Consider the following 22,837-nt stretch of genomic DNA (forward strand, 5'->3'; position numbering starts at 1 on the left):
TCCATGAGATAATCCAGGATAATCTCCCCTTCTTAAGATTCCTAGCTTAATCACATCTGCAAAGTCCCTTTTGCTTGCATGACAGGTCACATATTCACAGGTTATGGGGATTAGGACACGGATATCTTTGGGGTAGCATTCTACTCACCACAAAAGGGTTCCAGGAGGCTTCTCAGAGGAAAGGCATCTTCCCACTGTCGTGCACAAGAGTCCAGAATCACCTCCATTAACATTTCTTTTTCGGATTAATAATGTCCACAAACTCCAGCATTTATTAACCTATCTTCAATAATTTTCCCAGAGCTGCATATTTTTCATGAATCCAAATGAACTCATTATTTATTATTGCTTCATTCTAAGCAATAATACATATGCAATCAAGGTGTGATGGGCACTTATGATTTTTGTAACTATTCCCATTAAAATAATTACATAACTATTGACATTTTAAGAAGAGTTTATCTGTGTACTACCTAGAAGTACCACGTGAGACATGGCGAATATGCCCCAGATCCCAGCCTGCAGCTACGGGGTAATGTTGTGGAAAGGATTCTGAAAGAGGAGTGAAGAGACCTGGGTTTTGGTTCTGGATCTGCTGTGACCTCAGCCAAGTCACATTCTTTTGTGGGGCCTCAGTTTCCTGATCTATATAATGGGGACAATTCCTAAGGTTAACTCCAGCTTAGATATGATAAGGTTTTGCTATTAGCATATTAGTATGTTGGAAGTGGGAGAATGGGGCACAGGACAGGTAAGTTTTGATATGGATGGAAGAGAGTTGGTATATGGGGGTAGTGTTAGGGGCATGATTGTGGCCCCCGTACCCTAGGACCAGAATTACTGTTCTTCCTGATGCACAGCTAGTACCATATGCATACACCAATCAGGGCTCTCAGCAGGGAGACAAAATTTTATTCAGCCATGTGTGTCTTATTAAGCCTAGAATAAGGACACGTTATATTTTCTGGTTGTTGAATGACTGATTGACTGACAGAAGAAATGGCAGTATGATTCTTGTGATAGTCCCAAGAGGTCAACACTGACTGAAAGGCCTTGCTTATGACTGGAAGACCCCAGGAGACTTAGTGGTGGGTATGTGATCTCTGTGAGTCAGAGACCTAGGTTCAAATCCCAGCTCTACCACTTGTGAGTTTTGTGACCTTGGGCAGTTTACATCACTTCTCTGAGCCTCATTGTTCTTATCTAGATGATGGAGATAAGAATAGTACCTCCTCTGTAAGTTTGTGGTGAGATTTAAATGAGATAATCTATGCAAAGAGCACAGCCCAGTGCCTGGCACATAGCTCCATAAATATTAAGAATGACAAATACTATTGTTATCATTCTGCCTCCCATATTGTCTGGGAAGATGAAGATGATCTGAAAAGACTCCCAGCCTCTCCCAGGCTATTCAAAAGATTCAGGGAACTGTTGGAGACCCCACATAGGAAGTGGCATGTTGAGTTCTTTCAAATATACATCGACACCACCCAGGCTGTGCCCCCCACACACATACCAACGAGCCATCTGCTGAAGTTCAAATATTGTTCAAATGTAATATTTTGAAAGTGTTTTTCAGATGCTTCCTAAATGCTTGCCAAAACTCTAAAAATCTCACGTGAGCAAAAAATATAATTTTTATTTGGCTTTGCGTTGTGTGAATAGACTGTCAGATGGTGAGAAGATGAAGGCAGTAGATTTGGTTCTTCACGAAGAGAAAGGGGAGGAACACGTGCTCTGAAACCAGGCAGGCTCAGGTCCGTGTCCTGGCCCCACCACTTAGCATCAGGCAACCTCAGCCCACCATTTAGTACCTCTGAGCTGTTTCCTCCTCTGTACAATGGGTTAACTCACAGGTTAACAAGTCAGGTTAGCTCAGCACATAGTAAGCACTCAATCAATAGTAGCAGTTATAACTTTCTAAAAGAATATCCATGTACTGGCTGGTGCATAGTAGGGTCTTCATAGGTCTTCATTTCCCCATAAGCAGGACCCAGTAGTAGAGGGATGACCTTGGGTTGTTGAGCAGAGCCTTTCTAAGAATGGGTTGAAATCCTACGTTGTCTATATATTTAAGGAGCCAGCACATTAAAAAATCTGATCTGGCAGATTGCTGATTTCTGCTAAGGTGGACAGGTGTGGGTTGTGGGTATCAAGAAATCTATTTAAGCCCACAAATACAGGTGTACCAGAAATATCAACTTTCTTAAATCTTTTTAAATGAAGTCAAATTCGACTTGGAGTCTCTACTGAGTTGTAGAAAAACTCTGATTTCAGTCATTACTGAGGCTCCTCGCTCCCAGATGGATGAATTTCTCCCTGGTCACCACCAAACCCCAACTAGCCATCCAGCATGTTTCCTCTAAGTCTAGAAACTCTGCTATTCTGAGCCAAGCTTGGAGCAACAGGCGAACCTCTGCCCACATTGGTATTTCTGGCACTACGTGTCTAGACGCTTTCCTCAGGCACTGCCAGGACTTGTTTGGAACCTCTGGCTTGTTCCCTGTCCCAGAGAAATCGACTTCTCACTTCCACTTTCCTCCCCAGGACCCCACCCCATAAGCTCACCAATGAGCTTTCAACAGAATTTGCAAACAGGCAGTTGTAAACTTGAATGAGGGCCCCAGATATTTCTCTGTGGTTTCTTCGTTGTTTGTTTGTTTGCTTTTAGTTTGTCTTAATAGACTTTATTTTGGAGGGCAGTGTTCAGTTTACAGAAAAATTGAGTAGCAAAGTACAGAGAGTTCCTCCATATACTCTTTCCGCTCTGTCCTTCACTCCACCATTATATGACCATCTGGTCTTAGTGAGGGTCATTTGGCACAACCGATGAACCAATATTGATACATTATTATTACCTGAAGTTCATGGCATACATTGGAGTTCACTCTGTGTTGCACAGTCTTTGGGTTTTGACAAGTGTATAATGACATGTGTCCACCATTACAGTGTCCTACAGAAGAGTTTCATGGCCCCTAACTCCTCTGGGCCCCACCTATTTCCCTCCTACCCCTGGAGCTGCTAGCAATGACTGATCTTTTTACCCTTTCCACAGTTTTCCCTTTTTTGTATCTTTTTAAATTAATTACTTTAGCTTCCAAGATTTAAAAAGTGGAATATTTTATATGAAAACCCAGATGTCCAAAGTCTCTTAAAAATGTAGGATATTCCAAGCAACCACAGGCTGGAGCTGAGTGCAGCTGCTGTCTCCCCCAAGTTCCCTACCCAGAGTGGGGTGAGCTCCTGCAGTTGTTCTTCCTCGTCATCTTGCAAGCAGCCTCCTCTCCCTTCCTTGGCCCTGGTAGATATTTGGGTTTGTGAATCTAGCCTGGCCTCCTGCAAACACTATCTCCTGCCCTGCAAATATATTCTTGGGGCTGAGGGTCACAACAAAATTGGCCACCTGCTTGAAATGAGAAAGAGAGAAAAATTTAGGGAAATCAAATACAAATGAATTCCTCTAGCAATTATCTAGTAACTTGTAGGAGGCTCCTCTGAGGCCACACAAACACCCAGCCACTACAGGCTGTCTGAGGCTGGTACCATGTCAGCCAACATCCTACACTCGGCAGATTCCTTCTGCATGCTCTGCACAGCCTGTACTTACGGGATGTCTGAGGCTGTGAGCCCGGTTGTGGGCTACACATAAAGTCCTTCAGTGGCCATACACCTCTGGGTCAATAATTTATGCTAATGCTGCAATTCACCCTACTGACCTCGTTTCTGGAGCATGTCAGAGAACTGGACACCCAGAGATTAAATTGCCCCTGGAGAGGCGTGGGTGATAGCAGCCACAAACGGAGAGAGTAGGAGAGGTTCAAGTTCAGAGCACACTACTGAGACACAGCCAGCAATGAAGGCCACCCTTTAACTTGGCTACAAGGTTTCATTTTGGAGAAGAGCCTGAGGCTCTAAGCAGTGAAATACAACCTGGCGTTAGGCTGCGCATGTTCCCATCCTTTCTCCTATGACAAGTCCCTGGGGCGGGCGGGGTGGGGGTCTTTACACACAGGGCTACTGGGCCGGGTGGGGAGTGGCCAAAACAGCCCTAGATGCAAGGCCCAAAACTTGCCCCTTAGGTGCTGTGTGATCTCAGGTAAGTTGCTTTGTCTCTCTGAGTCTCCATTTTCACCTCTGGAAGATAGAGGTGGCAATGATGCTTCTCTCACAGCAGAATAAACAGGGATGTTATATCCCAGGGGACTTCCAGGTCTCCTGTCCCAGCCCTACATCCCTCCCTGACAGTACCAACATCCTACCGACTGCCCAAGTCATCATACTCAAGTCCTCCCTCTCCCTCACTCTCCGTGTCTACTCAAGCCACAAGTATTACCTGAGCACCTCCTATGTGCCAGGCACTGACAATACAATGGTGAACAAAGCAGATCCCACCCCACCCTCATGGAACCAACATTACCCTCCTTGTGTCTTTGATGCTTGTACCTTCTCCTCTGGGTATTCTGATCCAAGCCATCTGTCTTTTGCCTGGATTCTGTAACATCTTGCACACTACAGCCAGAGTTCTTCCTGGAAACACACATCTGATGGTTAAAGACCTTCTGTGGCCCCTAGAATAAAATCAAAGCTCCCTGTGCTCCAGCCATCTTAGCCTCTTCTGTGTCTCTGAAAGGGATCTAGCCCTGTCCCACCTCTGGAGGTTGCCCTGGTTGTTCCTCCATCTGGTTTCCTTTTCTTAATAGGACATCATCTTCTCAGGTGTCACTCTTGAGACCTCCTTCTCCAGCTGACTCTCCTTAGTCCTTGCTGCTTCCCCATCACAGCTCTGGTGATGATGCTGGTGCTGATAGCCAATGTGCCTGTTGTGCTTTCTGTACACCATACTCAGTCCTAAGCCTCTTTTGTTATAGTGACACATTTAGTCCTCACAACAGCTCTGTGAGACAGAAACTACTCACAGTATACCCATTCTACAGATGAGAGAACCAAGGCAGAGACGAAAGTGGCTAAGCTGGGGCTCCACAGTACTACAGTGTTATGCCTCTGGCCACTCATTTGTGATCCCCGTGGAGGGTAAGACTCTTGTCTTGCTCATCTCTGCATCCCCAGCACACAGAGTCTGGCACATCATAGATGCTCAATGAACTCTCATAGAATGATGAATGGCCATCTTGCTGAAACAAATGAGCTAGTGATGTTCTGAAATCCCCACTCCAACTGCTTGGGATCATCTGAGCGTGAGGGATTCTTATTCTTGCTCTTGGACTGTGAGTTGGTTCTGCCCAGGGGAGGAATCTGTCTCCTTGCCCCAGAAAGCCCCCAGCAGCCCCTGCAGCATCTCTTGCTGGGGAATGCAGGCGTGGGAGGACGGTCCTTGCCATCATTTGTTTTTCTCAGCGTTGGCTTTTCTCCTATACAATCTGCCCCTGGCAGACAACAGAATCCAAGGATTCAGTACTGTTGAGGGTATTTCTGGCTGTGAGGGCTCCTGAGGTTTCCCCCTGTGCTGAGACAAAGGGAATTTGCCCAACCAGGGCTCTGCGAGGGGCCTTCGTGGAGATATTAGACACGGTATGATAGCACGAGAGCCATGTTACATTCGTTACAGCTTCATAGTTAATTTAGGATCTCGGCTGGATGAGGGGTGTGGCTGCTTGGCCTTTAGAGGCTGCCAAGGATGGCTGCTGAAGGTGAGCTTCTTTCAAGACCCAACGTGAAAATGAACTGTTGCTGTGAGTTCTGCAGGAAGATGGTTGGTGGGATGGGCTGATTCTAAGGACTCACTTCAGAGCCTGCAGTCTGAGGGTGGACAGAGCTTACTTTAAATCCCACCTTAGTTACTCTGTAGCTATAGGATAGGATATGACAAGATAGTATATTGTATTGGTCTGTTCTTGCATTGCTATAAAGAAATACCTGAGACTGGGTAATTTATAAGGAAAATTGGCTCATAGTTAAGCAGGCTGTAGAGGAATCATGACACTGGCATTTTCTTGGCTTCTGGGGAGGCCTCAGGAAACTTACAGTCATAGCAGAAGGCAAAGGGGAAGTAGGATCATCTTACATGGCCAAAGCAGGAGAAAGAGAGGCTGGCAGGGGAGGTGCCACACACTTAAACAGCAACCAGATCTTATGAGAACTCACTCACTATCACAAGAACAGCACCAAGAGAGAAATCTGCCCCCATGATCCAATCACCTCTCACCAGGCCCCACCTGCAACACTGGGGATTACAATTGACCATGATATTTGGATGGGGACACAAATCCAAACCATGTCAGATATGATATATGATGTGATAGATAATACAGCACAATATACTGTATTATATTATGCTATACTGTGTTGTGCAGCACACTCAGGATTTCTCAATAGGAGAGGGGTGAAATTGTCAAGAGCACAAACTCAGGAGGCAGGTGCCTGCATTCAAATCCCAGCTCTGACATTGACGAGCTTTGCAACCCCTGGCCTTGTCCCACCACCTTCCTGAGCTTCAGTTTCCTCACTTATAAAGTGGTAATAATAACAGAAGCCACCTAACTGGATTATTGGGATGATAGATGAAAGCAAGTGTATGGAAGCAGGCAGGTGTGTGGTAGAGAGAATGAAATTTGGAATGGTGCAACCTGATGTTTAAATCTTGGTGCTGCCACCACACACATGGTGTATGTGACTTTACGGGAGATTTTCAGCTCTCTGAACCTCACTTTCTTCATCTGTAAAATAGAAATATTGATTCCAATTTACCTTGCAGAGCTGTTATAAGAAAATATCATAATGCATATAGGGGCTGTAAAGGGTTGAATTGTGTTCCTCCCTCCAAATTCAAATGTTTAAGTTCTAACCTCCAGGCCTTCAGAATGTGACTTGATTTGGATATAGGGTAATTGCAGATGGAATTAGTTAAATTAGGATGAAGTCATAGTGGAGTAGAGTGGGCCCCTAATCCAATGTGACTGGTGTTCTTAGAAAAAGGGAAAATTTGGACACAGACTTGAACACAGGAGAAAGGACATGGGAACAGGAAGGCAGAGATCAGGGTCGTATTTCTATGAGCCAAGAAATGCCAAAGATTGCTGGCAAACCACCAGAAGCTTCAAGAGAGGCCTGGAACAGATTCTCTCACAGCCCCCAGAGGGAACCAATCCTGCTGACACCTTGACCTCTGACTGCCAGGCTCCAGAACCAGGAGAGAATAAATTTCTGCTGTTTAAGCCACTTGGTTTGTGGTACTCTGTTGGCAGCCCGGCTTAGCACAGAGCCCGGCACAAAGCGAGTGCTCACTGCATAGTTCTTGTTTTGTTATTCCTATGACCAGCATGTTCAGTCCTGTGATACCTGGGAAGCTTGTGGTGGGTCCAGAATGGGTCAGAACCCAGAACACAGCTGGGCTATGTGATGTGGGTGAGTTGCTTTCCCACTCTGGGCCCTCAGTGCCCTTATCTGTAAAACAAAAGCTCCACCTGATCAGAATAACGAATGAGACCCCTCACATGCAGATTTTACCGTGGCTTCACTGTGCACTGTCATCTCAAGCCCTCACCATGGCCCATGCATCACCATCCTCCCCACTTTACAGATGGGGACACTGAGGCTCACAGAGGGAAGAAGTCGCTTGCCCAACATTGCACAGAAGCCAAGTGGCAGAGATGGGGTAAAATGGTAGCCAGTCCATGCTAAGGCCTGCCCTTGGCCACAGAATACTGGTGAGGGTGGAAAGGAAGGACGGCAGAGGGACTGTGACCTCAGATTCTCTTCCAAGCCTGAAGACAACGTTGGCCACGTTGTTCTCATTTCCTCCTTTGGGCTTCTTCAGCATCTTCCTTGCAGGCTCACATCTCTCCGGAAGCTCTTGGAATCCTGCCTGTTCATAGGGAGGAGTCACCAAGCCCCCTTCAGACTCACGGGTGGAATAATCAAACACATATGCCTTGGAAAATGGGCTGGGGGATCCCCAGCCCCCCAACCCATTTCACACTCAGATGCAAGCAACACCCTCAGTCCCCAGGGCTCCCAGAGCTTTCTCATTCCATTTGTATCAATGTGCCCCACACATGTATGAGCCAAGTTCTACTTCTGGGGGAAAGAAAAAAATCTATTTCTTTCTGCATCTTGGCATCTATTTTTCCCAAAGTGCCAAGGAAATTCCATCTCTGATAAATGACAGGCAGCCACCAGAAAAGCTTGGATGTTTATTCCCTCCTGGGGAGAGGAACAGGGCTCAGACCCTCTTCTGAGCATCCTGGAGAATGCATTTCCTCCATTTTCTGGAGGGGCTGGGAGTAAGGCCTTCTCTTTTCTCTCTCCAAATGACCTCTGCTCAGACCTGGAGGCCCTTCCAGAACAGTTTCTGATGGATTCTGGAGTCTGACAGACCTGGTTAGCAAAGTACCCTGGACTTGGTAAATGGCTGTTTCCATCAATATCATTCATTCATAAGATATCACTACATGCACAGGCTGTGTGTTGAGCCTGCATCTTGTGCCAGCCTCTGTGTTAACTGCCTTAAACATCACTTCACTTACTCCTCACAAAAACCTGGAGGAAGTGGAGTGATGCCTCATTGTATAGGCAGGAAAACTGGGGCTTCAAGAGAGGCTGAATCGTATTCCTATGGACATGAAGCTAATAAGTGGTAGGTCATCAGCTAAGTGATACCACTAATAAGTAGTATTTGAATCCAGATGGGTCTGATCTGATTCCAAGTCTGAGCTCGTAAAAAGTCTATACCATCCTCCTGGCTAGCATGGTGAAATCCCGTCTCTACTAAAAATACAAAAAATTAGCTGGGCGTGGTGGCGGGCACCTGTAGTCCCAGCTTCTTGGGAGGCTGAGGCTGGAGAATGGCATGAACCTGGGAGGCGGAGCTTGCAGTGAGCAGAGATTGCACCACTGCACTCCAGCCTGGGTGACAGAGCAAGACTTTGTCTCAAAAAAAATAAAAATTAAAATTAAAAAAGAAAGAAAAAGTCTATACCATTCTTCTTTCTAAGTGTGGTGGGTTGAATAATCATCCTCTGCCCCACCAAACCTGTCCACGTTCAAATCCCTGGAACCTGCAAATATGGTACCTTAAGCATGGTAAGAGGTACTTGGCAGACGTAAATGAGTTAAGAATCTTGAGATGGGATATTATCCTGGATTCTCCAAGTGGTCCCACTGTCATCGCAAGGATCTTCATAAGAGGGAGGCAGGGAAGATCCGAGTCAGTAGCAGGAGATGCGATGATAGAAGACGTTGGAGTGATGGAATGCAGGCAGGAAGGGGAGGGGCCAGGAGCCAAGGCATGCAGGCAGCTTCTAGAAGCTGAAAAAGCAAGGAAGCAGATTCTCCCTGAAGCCTCCAGCAGGAACCAGCCCTGCAGACATCTTGATTTTACACTTCTGATTTTCAGAACTGAATAGAATGAACTTATGTTTTTTTAAGCTAGTAAGTTTGTGGTCATATGTTACTGCAGCCACAGGAAACTAATATACTAAGCATGGATAAAAAAAATTAAGGAAAGATACTAAAAGAATAAGTGAATGCCTGGAAAGGTAGTGAATAAATGAGTGAAACATAGTGGCATCAGTGATGGCTTGCCTTTGACATCCCAGTGGGTCACTGTCTTCTCTACAGCCCAGGACCCATGACAGAGTGGTTGGCATTACCACTAGACCTGTAGCCCTTCACTTATTTATACTGTTGTTTAATCTTAAATCCTTTTTTTTTTTTTTTTTTTTTTTCAGAGAGGGGGATGTTTGAAAACGTCCTACAATGGTATACCTTACATACTGTAAAGTACAAAATCAATAAATTTTTACAAACTTATAGAGCCATGGAACCATTGCCAAGGTCAAGATACAGACCATTCTTATCACTCCAGAGAGGTTTCTTTGCATTTCTTCCTAATTGATACCCCTGTCACCAGAGATTAATTTGCCTGTCCTTGAACTTCATATGAATGGGATCTTGTACTGTCTTTTCTTTTGTGCCTGGCTTCCTTTGCTTGATGTTATTTTTATAAATCCGTGAGATTTATTCACGATGTCACATATATCAGCGGTTTCTTTCTTGTTCATTCAATTTTTAATCCTTTCTCCTTTTGAAGGACACATGGCTGATTTTCTGCAGTTTGGGACCCTAATGAACAGAGGTGCTAGGGACATTCTTGTACAAATCTTGTGGGAGATTTAAGCACTCATTTCTTGTAGGTGTATACCCAGGAGTGGAATTGCAGGGTCCTAGGTATGTGAATGTTTCGCTTCAGTGGACAACACCAGTCTCCAGCCTGAATCTAACTTGAGGAATGCCTTCCTTGCCCGCAACAGCTTTCTCTCCAACAGATCTACCCACATCTCCACATTGTGTGGGTCACAATGCTTAGGAGACAAGGAGGCCCAATAACTCCTCACATCCCAGTCCAGGAAAGCCTCATCTGACCTGATGGGTTTCAGAGATGTGATGTAGGAGAAGGTGGGGACAAAGGGGGTACCCAGTCTCCTTTTCATGTGGGCTCATTTGCTAACCAGCAAATGGACTTGCTGCCCGATGCACATAAAAGCCAATGACTATGGCACTGGTTTTTGAGAAAAGAAAGACTTTATTGTAAACCTGGCTGGCAAGGAGACAGAAGTCAGGCTTAAATCTGTCTCCCTAATTTGGGATCTGGAGCAAATTTTAAGGGATCAGAGGGCAAGGGAAAAGATTTAGGAGTGGTGGGTTGGCAGGGTCTGATTAAAGGGCTTCAAATTTGACCATTTACAGTAAAGTATGTTGAGGCAGATTTTAACCCTGGATCTTCCGGGCCAATAGACCCCTCACTTCTGAAAGAGCTCCAGAGTTCAGGTCCTGGTCATGTCCCAGTCTTCTTGGTTCCAAGGGGAGGATTCATGGTTCCAGGTGTTGTTAAAGGTCAAAGATTTTTCTATTGTGCATACCCAGGCTCTGTTACCCCAAAGGGGACTCTAATTTTTTGTTGTTGGTGTTTTTTTTGGTACAGACAGGGTCTTGCTATGTTTCCCAGGCTGGTCTTGAACTTCTAGCTCAAGTGACCCTCTCATCTTGGCTTCCCAAAGAGCTAGGATTATAGGCATGAGCCACTGAACCCAGTCTACTCAGCATTTTGTCTTCAACAGAGCAGGCCCAGTTTGGGCTGGTACCAAGGTTACATGTTCTTTCTATATGGGACCCTCCCATTTGCTGAGTTGATGAGGCAGAGGTTTGGAGTTTAGTTGAGTGTGAGGTGGAGACATATCCCAAACTTAAATAATCAGCACACCACCCTTGCAATTTTTCCCACATTTGCTGTTTTTCTTGGAATTGATTTACTTTTTTACTGAAAGTTGTTTATTTAGGAAGTTAACTTACCTGCAAATATGAAATCAATATGACTTTCCCTAAATAGAGGTTAATCACTACAAACACTCCAAACAAAGACAAGGTAGATCAGTTCTAGCCCGGCACCATTACCTGCCTGGGATTCTGTGCCTGAGGCCTCTCTCTGTTATAAAGGCAGATTAGCAAGCATTTGAGAGGTGTTGAAGCTCTATTAGCACCAAACTGAGATTTTTTATTGATGTCATCAGAGATATTGAAGGAAAATTAAAAGTGAATACTTTTCTCACTTTATGATAGAATGGTATTTAACACTGGAATCTTCCCTTATGCTGAGATGGCTCCTACACTTTGAGAAACACTGATGTATTGAAAAGCCTCCTAGTTGGGAGTCAGATCTTTGTCCAAATGCTCTGCTAGCTCTGTAATATTGGATCAGTGACTTCATCTCTTTGAGCCTTAACTCCCTCATTTGTGCAGTGGGATGATCATAGCACCTGCCTCAGAGGCCTGTGAGTGTGAATGAAGAACTCAGTAAATGACTCTGCTCTTGGTATTTTTGTGATAGGGTCATCTAATGAATCTTATGTCTAAAGATTGATGCCAGCAGTGGGAATGGACATCCCAGAGATTTCTACATTGAGATTCTTAGGGTGTCTGCTCCTAAGCAAAATCCTCTGTTGGCTTCAGCAAAGTTCTCTGCCATTTTGGGGGAATGTTTATTGCCCTTGGGATTCTGCCAAGGTTAAATGGAGAAAGTGGTCCTGCTGAAATTCACACACTTTGTCATTGGCTCGCAGGCACAGATACTAAATCTGATCCACCGGAGAGTAAGCAGGATCTCTCCCATGCATCTGTTCTTACGGAGGTGATGATGTGTTGGGGCAGCAGATTCCCTGTCAGACCTACCTGTGTGCCACCCCAGTTTCACTATTTGCTGCATTTTTTCTTTCTTTCTTTCCCTCCTTCTTTCTCTTTCTTTCTTTCTTTCCTTCTTTCTTTCTTTCTTTTCTTTCTTTCTTTCTTTCTTTCTTTCTGTCTTTCTTTCTTTCTCTCTTTTTTTCTTTTTTTTTTTTTTGACAGAGTCTCGCTCTGTTGCCCAGGCTGAAGTGTAGTTCCATGATCTTGGCTCACTGCAACCTCCGCCTCCCGGATCCAAGTGATTCTCCTGCCTCAGCCTCCGGAGTAGCTGGGACTACAGGTGCCCACCACCACACCCAGCTAATTTTTGTATTTTTAGTAGAGGCAGGGTTTCACAATGTTGGCTAGGCTTGTCTCGAACTCCTGACCTCAAATGATCCACCCACCTCGGCCTCCCAAAGTGCTGGGATTATAGGCATGAGCCACAGTGGCCGGACTATTTGCTGTATGTTTTAGGGGATGCCACTTCTCCTCTCTGGGTTTCAGTTTGCTCGTCTCGTAAGTGGGAATATTCGAACCTTATAGAGTGATATGAATGATAAGATGAGATGAAGCACAAAATACAATAACCAAGTATTTAATAGACAAAAATCATTGCTGTAATTGTTCTTACTTGAGGAAGTCATAGGCTGCATTTAAATGTTCTGCAGAACTTACTCTGCCTCTTGGACTCATGATCATTCTAAATCTTTGTTTCAGAAAGAACCTCCCCCACCCCACTCCAATCTCTCAATTTTCATTCTATTCCAGATGTTCGCTTGTGTGTTCTCCACTGCCCAAACCCAGGTGGTTATTCTGCAACAGCTACAACTTGAGTAAGACCAAAACACAACTCAAGTGGACTTTCTAAAAAGAGAATAATTTATTTTGGCTCCCAGACATCAAAATTCGCAAGGGATTGCTTCAGGTATGGCTTGATCCAGGCTCAAACAAAGCTCATGAGATCTTAGTTTCTCTGCATCTCTACCTTCCCCTAGGCTTCAGCTGCCCTGATGGTAGCAAGATACTGCCAGGAGGCCAAGCTCACTTCTCCCAGATGCCCAAATCCATAAGAATCTAGAACCTTTCTCTCCCAGCCAAAGGCTTATTGTTTCTGATTAGAATACCTGCTTGTTTCTGAACCAATCGCTGTGGTAGGAGAGAGATATGGGCCATGTTGATGGGCTTAGGCTAGGCAGGACCTATTTTTGGAGGTGAGTGTTGGGTCAACCCCATGCAAGCCCCACTGTTGGATGAAATGTGGATTCTGGAGAGCATCAATGCTAGAAGAGGGTGAGGGGTAAAATGATCCTGGGGCTGCAATCAACTGATGTCCCATTGCTTTTTTCAAATAAATAACAAATTTTCCATTAGAAACTCAGCAATGGAGCAGGATTGAAGGAGCCTCTCTCTCTCTTTCTGTCTCAACTCATTCTTGTGCCACATTGCCTGAAAATAACAAGGTTGAAGTCAGAGTGATGAATGGGGGCAACATTGACTCGGCACTAATTTTGCCTGGAAGCCGTAGCTATTTTGGGCTCCTGCTGAGCCCTGGTTTAGCTTAGCTGGTTAGACAGTAGGGCTCGTGAGGTCAAGGGTATGAAGAAGGAGCAGAAACATGGGATTGGAGCAGAAGTCCTGGATCCTGATCATGCTCTGCCACTTTTCAGCTAGAAACCTTGAGCAAGTCACATATCTTCCCTGGATCACCATCTCCATGTCTCCCTTAAATGTCCCTTTACTCTGCCCCCATCTCCTCCATTAGGTCACCCCTACACATCTCTTATCCCAAGACTGACTGCCCATCCCAAGACTGGGTGGGATGCTCCTCCATGTGCCTATACAGCCTTAGACTTCTGAGTTCAAATCCTAGTTATTCCACTTACTTACTGAATGACTTTGGACAAGTTTATCAGTCTCATTGTGTCTCAGTTTCCTTGTCTGTCAAATGGGGATACTGTGACTAGTACCTATCTCATGGGGTTGTTGCAGTGATTACAATGGATAATTTATGTAAGCATTTAACATAGGGCTGGGCTCAGCAAATGCTAGCTTGAAAGAATGGTTCTGAAATCCAAGTGGAAAAACAAGCCTGTGACATAAAACTTCTCCCTTACTGTATGAGATTCATGGAGCTGTGTTTTTATACCATTCTCTCCTGCACCTCAGTATCTAGCAATGTTCCTGGTGTATAGCAAGTCCTCAATAAAATTTGTTAAATCAATGTCCTAGTTCATCATGTTCTAGGGTAGTGGTCCTCAACCACTGGGCCACACAGCAGGAGGTAAGCAGTGGGCCAGTGAACAAAATATCATCAGTATTTACAGCCACTCCTCATTGCTCACATTACTGCCTGAGCTCTGCCTCCTGTCAGATCAGTGGTGGCATTAGATTCTCATAGGAGCACAAACCCCACTGTGAACTGCGAATGCAAGACCTCTAGGTTGCACACGCCTTATGAGAATCTAATGCCTTCCATCACCTCCAGATGGGAATCTAATGTCTTCCATCACCTCCAGATGGGGCCGTCTAGTTGCAGGAAAACAAGTTCAGGGATCCCACTGATTCTACATTGTGGTGAATTGTATAATTATTTCATTATATGTAACAATGTAATAATAATAGAAATAAAGTGCACAATACATGTAATACACATGAATCATCCAGAAACCAATCCCCCCCACCCCCTGGTCCATGGAAAAATTGTCTTCAGTGAAACCGGTCCCTGGTGCCAAAAAGGTTGGGGACCACTGTTCTAGGGTATTCCCCTAGCTCTGCTGAGAGCACAGAATTGCAAAATTAGGCTGTCCATGGGCCTTGACAGAAACGTCAAGTTTGAAAGGTCAGTGTGAGCTGGTAGGAGGCTTCGTCTGTGACTGATTTGAGTGGTGCCAAAGTCACTCCCCTTCTTGAAGTCCCATTCTTGGCTCTCTCTGCTTCCCGCCCACCCAGAGCCTGGAGTTTAGGAAGACCCCTCTGACATGCAAACATCTGCATAAAAGTCCACAATCACCATCTTGTCACTGACTTTAATGATCTCATTAGACTGGCAGCATGTAGGGGAACAGGGCACAGGACAGTTTCCAGGGTCATGGTTGGAGGAATGAAGAAGTCAGAGAGAGGCTACCTCCCTGGGTGAGAGGAAAGGTAGCCAAAGAGCACACTGTTGGTTTTGCCCAGAGCTTGACTGGCAGTGACTCTGTAAATTTTGTTGGCAGTGTTGATATAACACCCCAAACAAGGTCCTCACTATTCGAGCAGCACATTAAAGACCCAAGGGAGGTTATTTTACTTGGCAGCTTCCCCACAGGGTGGCCAAGAAGCTGAAGGCAGAGACTGTGCTCCCAAAGCCTTCTTGTACTGGGAAGGGGAGAATAAGCCCCGCAGAACCTGTGGCAGGTAGCTTGCTTTTCTCTCCCCAAAGGCATTCTTAAAGCTGTATGCTGGCAGTGTTCTGTAGCCAAAGAAAATGTCCTGGATGTATGTGTGTGAGCTTGTATGTGTGTCTTCCAAACAAGAACCACCTTTCAGCCTTACCTTTATTTTTTTTCTGTTATGGGTTAGTTTTAGCACAATTTATTGCTTAGCTAAGTTAGGAAACTCACTTAATGCAGGTCCAGCACTATGCAGTGTAGTCACTACACACACACACAGAGAAACGGGAAAATAAGTGATAATGATGACATCAATGATGGTGATGACAAAGACAATGACAAGACAACAATGATGATGATGGTGATGATGTAAATATTAATGCTGCTGATGATGGCAGGGATGATGATATTGACAACAATGATGATGATGATGATGATGAGAACAAAAATCTATCGCCCAGTACTCTTCTAAGTGCTTTAATTTACTAACTTATCTAAGTCCCATAATCACCTTATGAAAAAGGATCTATGGTCATTGAATCCACCACCGGCTAGTTGTATGCGGCTGGGCAAGTTATTTCACCTCTCAGAGACTCAGTGACCCTATCTATAAAATGGAAATAAAAATAGCAGTTCTGGGTAACACACTTAGTCAATGTCTGACATGATGCCAGCGTTCAAGAGATAAAAGTGATTCTTATGTAGCCCCACTTGATCCTCCTGTCAACTCTGTGAAAGAGGAAGTATTTTTCTGACCCTGATTTTACAGAATGGTAGGCAAGTTCTCCCAGCTAGGAGTGGCTGAGCTGGGGCTCAAAGCTAGTCATGAGATTTCAGTCCTGTGGGCTTGCAGAAGCTGTTTTAGGCATCTCTGCAGGGCTAGTTCTGATCCACAGGGGTCCCTGGGCTAAGGCTGGGCTCAAAGGTCCACATGAGACCAGACTGGCTTCAGAGCATACAAAGCCCTCAGCCAGGGTAAGGTATTGCTAAGGTAGGAGAGGCTGGTTCTTTTGTGCCCATGAAATGAATCGCTGGGTACCTGGACTAGTCTGGGTGGCAGAGACACAAGTCACTCAAATCTCTTACCTCCCGCCCAGGAAGGCTGGTGGTGCTTCTTGACTTGGAGCCAAAAGAACCTAGTTTTCTAGCTCTTAGGAAGACCTCTCTGACATGCAAACATCTGCATAAAAATCCACGATCACCATCTTGTCACTGGCTTTAACAAGCTCATTAGACTGGGAGCATGTAGGGGAACAGGGCACAGGACAGTAAGTTTTCCAGGGTCATGGATGGAGGAACGAAGAAGTCAAGAGAGAGGCTCAGACACCCATATTGCTACAATTACACCATTTATTATGGTGGCCACTGGCCACGTATGGCTATTGAACATTTGAAATATGGCGAGACTGCAGTAAGGTGTGCTGGACATGTGAAATACACATCAGATTTTTAAGTCTTTGTATGAAAAAAAGAATGTGAAATATCTCAATAATGCTTCACACTTATGTTGAAATGACATTTTAGATCTAATAGATTAAATATATTATCAAAATTAATTTCACTTGTTCCTTCTTCATTTTTTAACATAACTTCTAGAAGATTTTAAGTTATATATGTGGCTCATATTGTATTTCTGTGCTCTACAGTTTATAGTCTACTGAGGTGATTAAACAGCTGGATTAAGAGTTTCCATCCCGGAGTCAAACAGACTGAAATCAAATCCCCATTTCACCTCTAACCAGCTGTGTGACCTTGGGCAAGTGACTTCCCTTCTCTGGGCTTCAGTGTACCTGCTTGTAAAATAAAGGTAAATATTTGGGAAGAATTTTGTCAAACTGTATGATTTTAAATAAGAATTCTTTTTATTCCTAAACAAAAAAGAAATACTATCAGAAACACTGACAAATATTATTGATGAGGAATTCTACTTGCCTTAAGAAAGAATAGGCTTTGCATTCAGTCAATTCAAATCTAGCCAAAAGCACAGAGCTGCACCATTGTTGAGAGTTAATATATGATTTCTAGGGTTTTTGGAAATCCTGAGGGGTCCCTTGGACCCTAGAGGGCTGTCAGAGACCTCTAAGAAGCTGGGACTATGGGAGAGAAAGGAGTACCGTGATCAATATTCACTCCTTACAGACAGGGGAATGGATGACCAGAGAGGTTAGGTAACTTGTTCAAGGTCACACAGCAAGTAGGTGGCAGACTAGGTCCTGCCAGGGTCTGTGCTCGTGATCACTTGCTATACTTTGTCATCATACCCAATTATCACAAAAGTCCTACTTTTAGCCCTATTTAAAGATGAAGAAACAGGATCAGAGAAGTTAAGGCACTTGTCTGTGGTCACACAGTGGCAGGTGGCATTCAATGCCAGATATACTGGGCTAAAGAGTGCCCCCCAAAATTCCGTGTCCATCTGGAACCTCAGAATTGGATCTTATTTGGAAATAGAGTCTTTGCAGCTGTAACTAGTTAAGTTGAGGACATACTGGATTCAGGTGGGCCCTAAATTCAGTCACTAGTGTCCTTACTAAAGAAAACAGAGACATGCAGACACACAGAGAGAATGCCACGTGAAGACAGAGAAAAAAATTGGGGTTACACCTCTACAAGTTGGCAAATGCAAAAGATCGCCAGCAACTGCTAGAAGCTGGAAGAGGGGCACAGAACAGATTTTTCCTCAGAGCCTTCCCAGAGGACCAACTCTGCCACCACCTCGATTTTGGACTTCTGGCCCACAGAGCTGTGAGAGAGTAAACTTTTGTTGTTTTAAGCCACCCAGTTTGCAGTAATTTGTTACAGCAGCTTTAGGAAGCTAACACATCAGGTGCTATGGTGTGAAAGTTTGTGTCCCCCCAGATTCACAAGCTAATGCCCTAATCTTAAATGGGAAGTGATTAGGTCATGAATGAGATTAGAGATCTTGCAAGAAGAGACAGGAGATAGCTTGTTTCCCCCCACTCCCCGCCCCTTCCCCCTCTCTGCCATGGGAAGACACAGTGAGAAGACCAGGAATCGGGGCCTCCACAGACACTGGATCTGCTGGCGCCTTGATCTTGGACTTCCCAGACTCCAGAACTTTGAAAAATAAATGTGTGTTGTTTAAGCCCTCCAGTCTAGAGGGCTAAGACACAAGACATGGCACCCTTGCTGCTGCTTCACTAGCAAAGCCCCAGCTCATCCTGGGGTGCTGTCGAGATGTCCCCCTCCCATCCTCATCCCAGACCCTCCCACCAGCCACCAGCCTGAGCAGGTGCGGAGCCTCAGAGTGGCCCTGCTGGCTCTTGGCTGTGAGAAAGGCCTTCTGCTCCAGGCATGGTGAGCTCTTGCAAATTACTGTTTTCAGTTGAAAAGAGGCTCCAGAGGGCTCTTCAGCTGCTCAGCAGGAGACGTGAAGGCTCTTGAATTAACTCAGAGAATCAGAAGCTTCTATGGCTGATGGCCAGGAGGCCCCCCCACCCTCCCCTGCCTTCATCCTATCCCTTGGTCGGGGGTTCCCTGACCAGGTGCTTCTCAGGAGTTCCCACAAGAGCAGCCTTGGTGGAGGCCAGATCCAAGTCACCTGTGGACTGATTGCCCAGTAGATGCTGGGGTAAGGGGATGCTGAATGAGGCTCTGCTGTTTCCAGGGGGTCAGCATCCTTCTGACTCCTATGGTGAAGGGGCCTGAGTGTGTTTCCTGTACAACCAGGAGTCCTGTCACTGGTCTGCACACACAGTCGGCCTTTATTTGATCCAATCAGAAGGCAGGAAGCCATTGAGGCAGAGCTGATTCCTGGCTCTCTGTGTGTGTGTGTGTGTGTGTGTGTGTGTGTGTGTGTGTGTGTGTCAGGGACTATCAGGGGTTTGAATATCCTTGCCCTACCGGGTGATCTGGCATAAATTCACCTCTATCTCCACCTTAGTTTGGGCCATTCTCCCCAAAGCCTGCTGTGCATTCATCCAACCATGCTCCTTGAATGTGGGGTGTTTGCCAGGCCCCGTTATGCACTTTACAGCGTCATCTCACTTGGTCTTTACGAATCCCTGTGCTGAATTATGATCACTGTCCCCACTTGACAGATGACAAAACCGAGGCCCAGTCACTTGCCCAAGTTCCCAGAGCTGACAAGTGGCTGAGCAGGATTTGGATGTTAGTCTATCTTGCATCAAAGTCCACACTCCTTCCCGTAGTAATCTGGGCAGCTTCTCCACTCTCCACCCACATTCCCTCCCCACATATGTAGGCATCTTGCCCTTAAAAAATATTCAAGGCTGAAGCTGCCTTACATAGAGTATTATAATTAAGAGACTGGGCTCTGGTGTCAGACATTTCCAGGCTTAAATCCCAGCTCTACCACCTGCCAACTGAGTGCCTCAGTTTCCTCACCTGTAACTTAGAGACAATCATGGATTTTGATTTCGGGGGCTCCTATGGGGATTTGGTGAGGGAATATGCACTTAGTACATGAGTCCCCACATGGTAGCCAGAGTCTGATGTCATTGCTGGACAGTGTCCTCCAAACCAAGAAAGCTAATGAACACTGGGTCATGCCTATTGCCAGGGTTTGCTCATCCCACAAAATATCTTTGAGCTCCTAATTTTTAAATTATTTTTCATTCTTTAGAGATAGGGTCTTTCTCTGTTGCCCAGGCTCGAGTGCAGTGGCACAAGCATAGCTCACTGCAGCCTCAAACTTCTGGGCTCAAAGGATCCTTCTGCCTCAGCCTCATGAGTAGCTAGGACTACAGGTGCATGCCACTGCACCTGGCTAACTTTAAAACGTGAGTTTTTTTGCAGAGATGGGGTCTTGCTTTGTTGCCCAGATTTGGCCTTGAACTCTGGGCTTCAAGCGATCCTCCTGCTTCGGCCTCCCAAAAGGCTAGGATTATAGGTGTGAAGCACCATGCTCCGCCTCCTTGAGCTTCTAAAATGGAAATGTGTCAGTCACTGTGGTGGGAGCCAGGGACACAGAGGTGAGGAAGACAAGACTCGCCCCTCTCTTCAGAGTGCTGATGGTGGTCTTGGAAGGGAGGGGGACCCTGAGCCGAGCATGCATCAGCTTTCTTTTTATAAGCACGTGATTCTTCACAGGGCACAATTCCTTCCCTGCCCAAAGAGACATTTGGCAATGTCTAGAGACAGGTTTGCTTGTCATGACTGGTGGGTGTTACCAGCACACAGGGGGCAGGAATGCTAAACATCCTGCAATGCACAGCACCGGACAGTTCCCCTCATCAAAGAAGCACCTGGCCCAAAATGTCAGTAGTGCAGAGGCTGGGAAATGCTGGGACATGCACAAGTGAGCCCCATGAGCACTTCTGTGGCCTCTGCACAGAGACCCCAGGGTTCCACAGACTAAAAGAGAGGAAGCATGTGCCCGCACCACCCTCTTCCAACCTGCCTTCTCTCATCAGCTGCTTCCAGCCAGATAATCAGGCCTCCCCTCGGTTTAATAGGATCCAGGCCGCTGAGGCAAATGTAAAAACAAAACCCTGTGCAAATGTGTTTTTATGTAAACACAGCAGGGGGTGGTGGCTGCCTGCAGAGAAAGAACCCTGTGGCTGGTACTTCTCAGAGCAAAAATAACCCCAGTGTTACTGCTCTGGGAGCAAAGCAGGCAATGGGATGAGGGGCGTGTGGGAACCCAGGTGTTCCTGGGAGCCATCCCTGCCCCAGTGAGCCATCCTCTGCCTCCAGGTGAACCTTTCAGGCGCCTAGAATAAGTGAGCAGGCGTTAATCCTCTTGGAAGCATCCCTTCCTTCAGGGAAGCAGCCAGCATAGGAGGAAAAAAGCACAGTGGGTTAATGTTACATGGCATTTTTCTTTTCTTTTCTTTTCTTTTTTTTTGAGACAGAGTCTCGCTCTGTCGCCCAGGCTGGAGTGCAGTGGCACGATCTTGGCTCACTGCAAGCTCCGCCTCCTGGGTTCATGCCATTCTCCTGCCTCAGCCTCCCAAGTAGCTGGGACTACAGGCACCCGCCACCATGCCCGGCTAATTTTTTGTGTTTTTGGTAGAGTTGGGGTTTCACCGTGTTAGCCAGGATGGTCTCGATCTCCTGACCTCATGATCCGCCCACCTCAGCCTCCCAAAGTGCTGGGATTACAGGCGCGAGCCACCACGCCCGGCCTATTGTTATATTTTCTTTAATGTTTTGTATTGAGTATCGTTTACCTACAGTAAAATGCACCCATTTTAGTGTACAGTTTGGCAAGTTTTGACAAATGTGTACAACCATATAACCTCTACTGCAATCAAGATGAACAAATGTTCCATCACCCTCAATTCCTCTTTGCCCCTCTGTGGTCAATCCCTCTTTCATCTCTCGCCCCTGACAACCACTATCTGTTTTGTGTTGTCTTTCTTTTCTGCCATTACCAGAGTGTCATATAAATGGAATCATAATAGCCTTTGAGTCTGGCTTCTTTCACTCGGCATAATGCATGATGCCTTTGAGGTTTATCAGTGCTGTTGTGTCATCAGTAGCTGATTCCTTTTCATGGCTGAGTAGTACTCCGTTGTATGGAGGCACCACAGTTTGTTCATTCACCATTTGTTTGCTTTCATTTTTGGCAATTACAAATAAAGTTGCTATAAATATTTGCATGCAGATTTTTGCCTGAGCATGGGTTTTCATTTCTCTTGGGCAAATACCTAGGAGTGGACATTTAACTTTTTAAGAAATGGTCAAACTGTTTTCCAAAGTGGCAGTATACCTTTTCACATTCCTACCATGGATGGATGGGAGTTCCAGTTGCTCCACATCCTCTCCAGCACTTGGGATTAGTTTTTGTTTTTTGTTTTTGTTTTTTTTTATTTGAGCCATTCCAGTACAATGTGTGTGTACTGGAATTTAAAAACCTCCTGTCTAGACGATTAGAACAGCCCACGTGAAAGCGATTAGAAGTGACTGGAAAAAATCAGGTGTGTGGTGGCATCTCATTGTGATTTTAATTAAAGCACAGGTTGTTGAGTTCTGTGGTCCTGGTGCTGCTCTTAGCAGCAGCTGGCAGGAGGCAGCTGATGTCAGTAGTTATAAGCACGAGTTCTGCAAGCCATCCCAGCTCTGCCTCTTGCTGAGTCTATGACCTTGCATCCATTATTCAATGCTCTGAGCCTCAGTTTACTCCTCTGTTAAATGGGGCTTGTATTAGTGTTTCTCACTGGTAATATTATGAGGTATAGAAAATTTAGTATGTATATATGTGTAATATATATTATGTGTATTATTTTATATAGATATATTTTAAAAATACTAAATAGGACTGGTGTGCGAGTTAGATGAAGTAATGTGGAGAGAGCTGGCAT

General features: G+C 45.4%; 1 protein-coding gene across 13 annotated transcripts in view; it reads left to right on the forward strand.

Annotated features, from left to right (window-relative positions):
• Positions 1-22,837, forward strand: part of WSCD2 (WSC domain containing 2) — a 121,250-nt gene that overhangs the window by 25,192 nt on the left and 73,221 nt on the right. For 3 of the 13 annotated variants that reach the window (XM_017020243.2, NM_001304447.2, XM_017020251.3), the window contains exon 2: positions 12,946-13,102. The exons of 5 other annotated variants lie outside the window; for them this stretch is intronic. The gene's annotated coding sequence lies outside the window, so the exon portion shown is untranslated. Of the gene's footprint in view, positions 1-12,945; positions 13,103-17,194; positions 17,356-22,837 lie in introns of all 13 variants that reach the window. 5 more of the 13 variants (XM_017020248.2, XM_017020252.2, XM_017020247.2 and 2 more) reach the window with 2 other exon arrangements.

The sequence above is a fragment of the Homo sapiens genome, chromosome 12, assembly GCF_000001405.40.
Source record: "Homo sapiens chromosome 12, GRCh38.p14 Primary Assembly".
Lineage (NCBI taxonomy): Eukaryota > Metazoa > Chordata > Mammalia > Primates > Hominidae > Homo > Homo sapiens.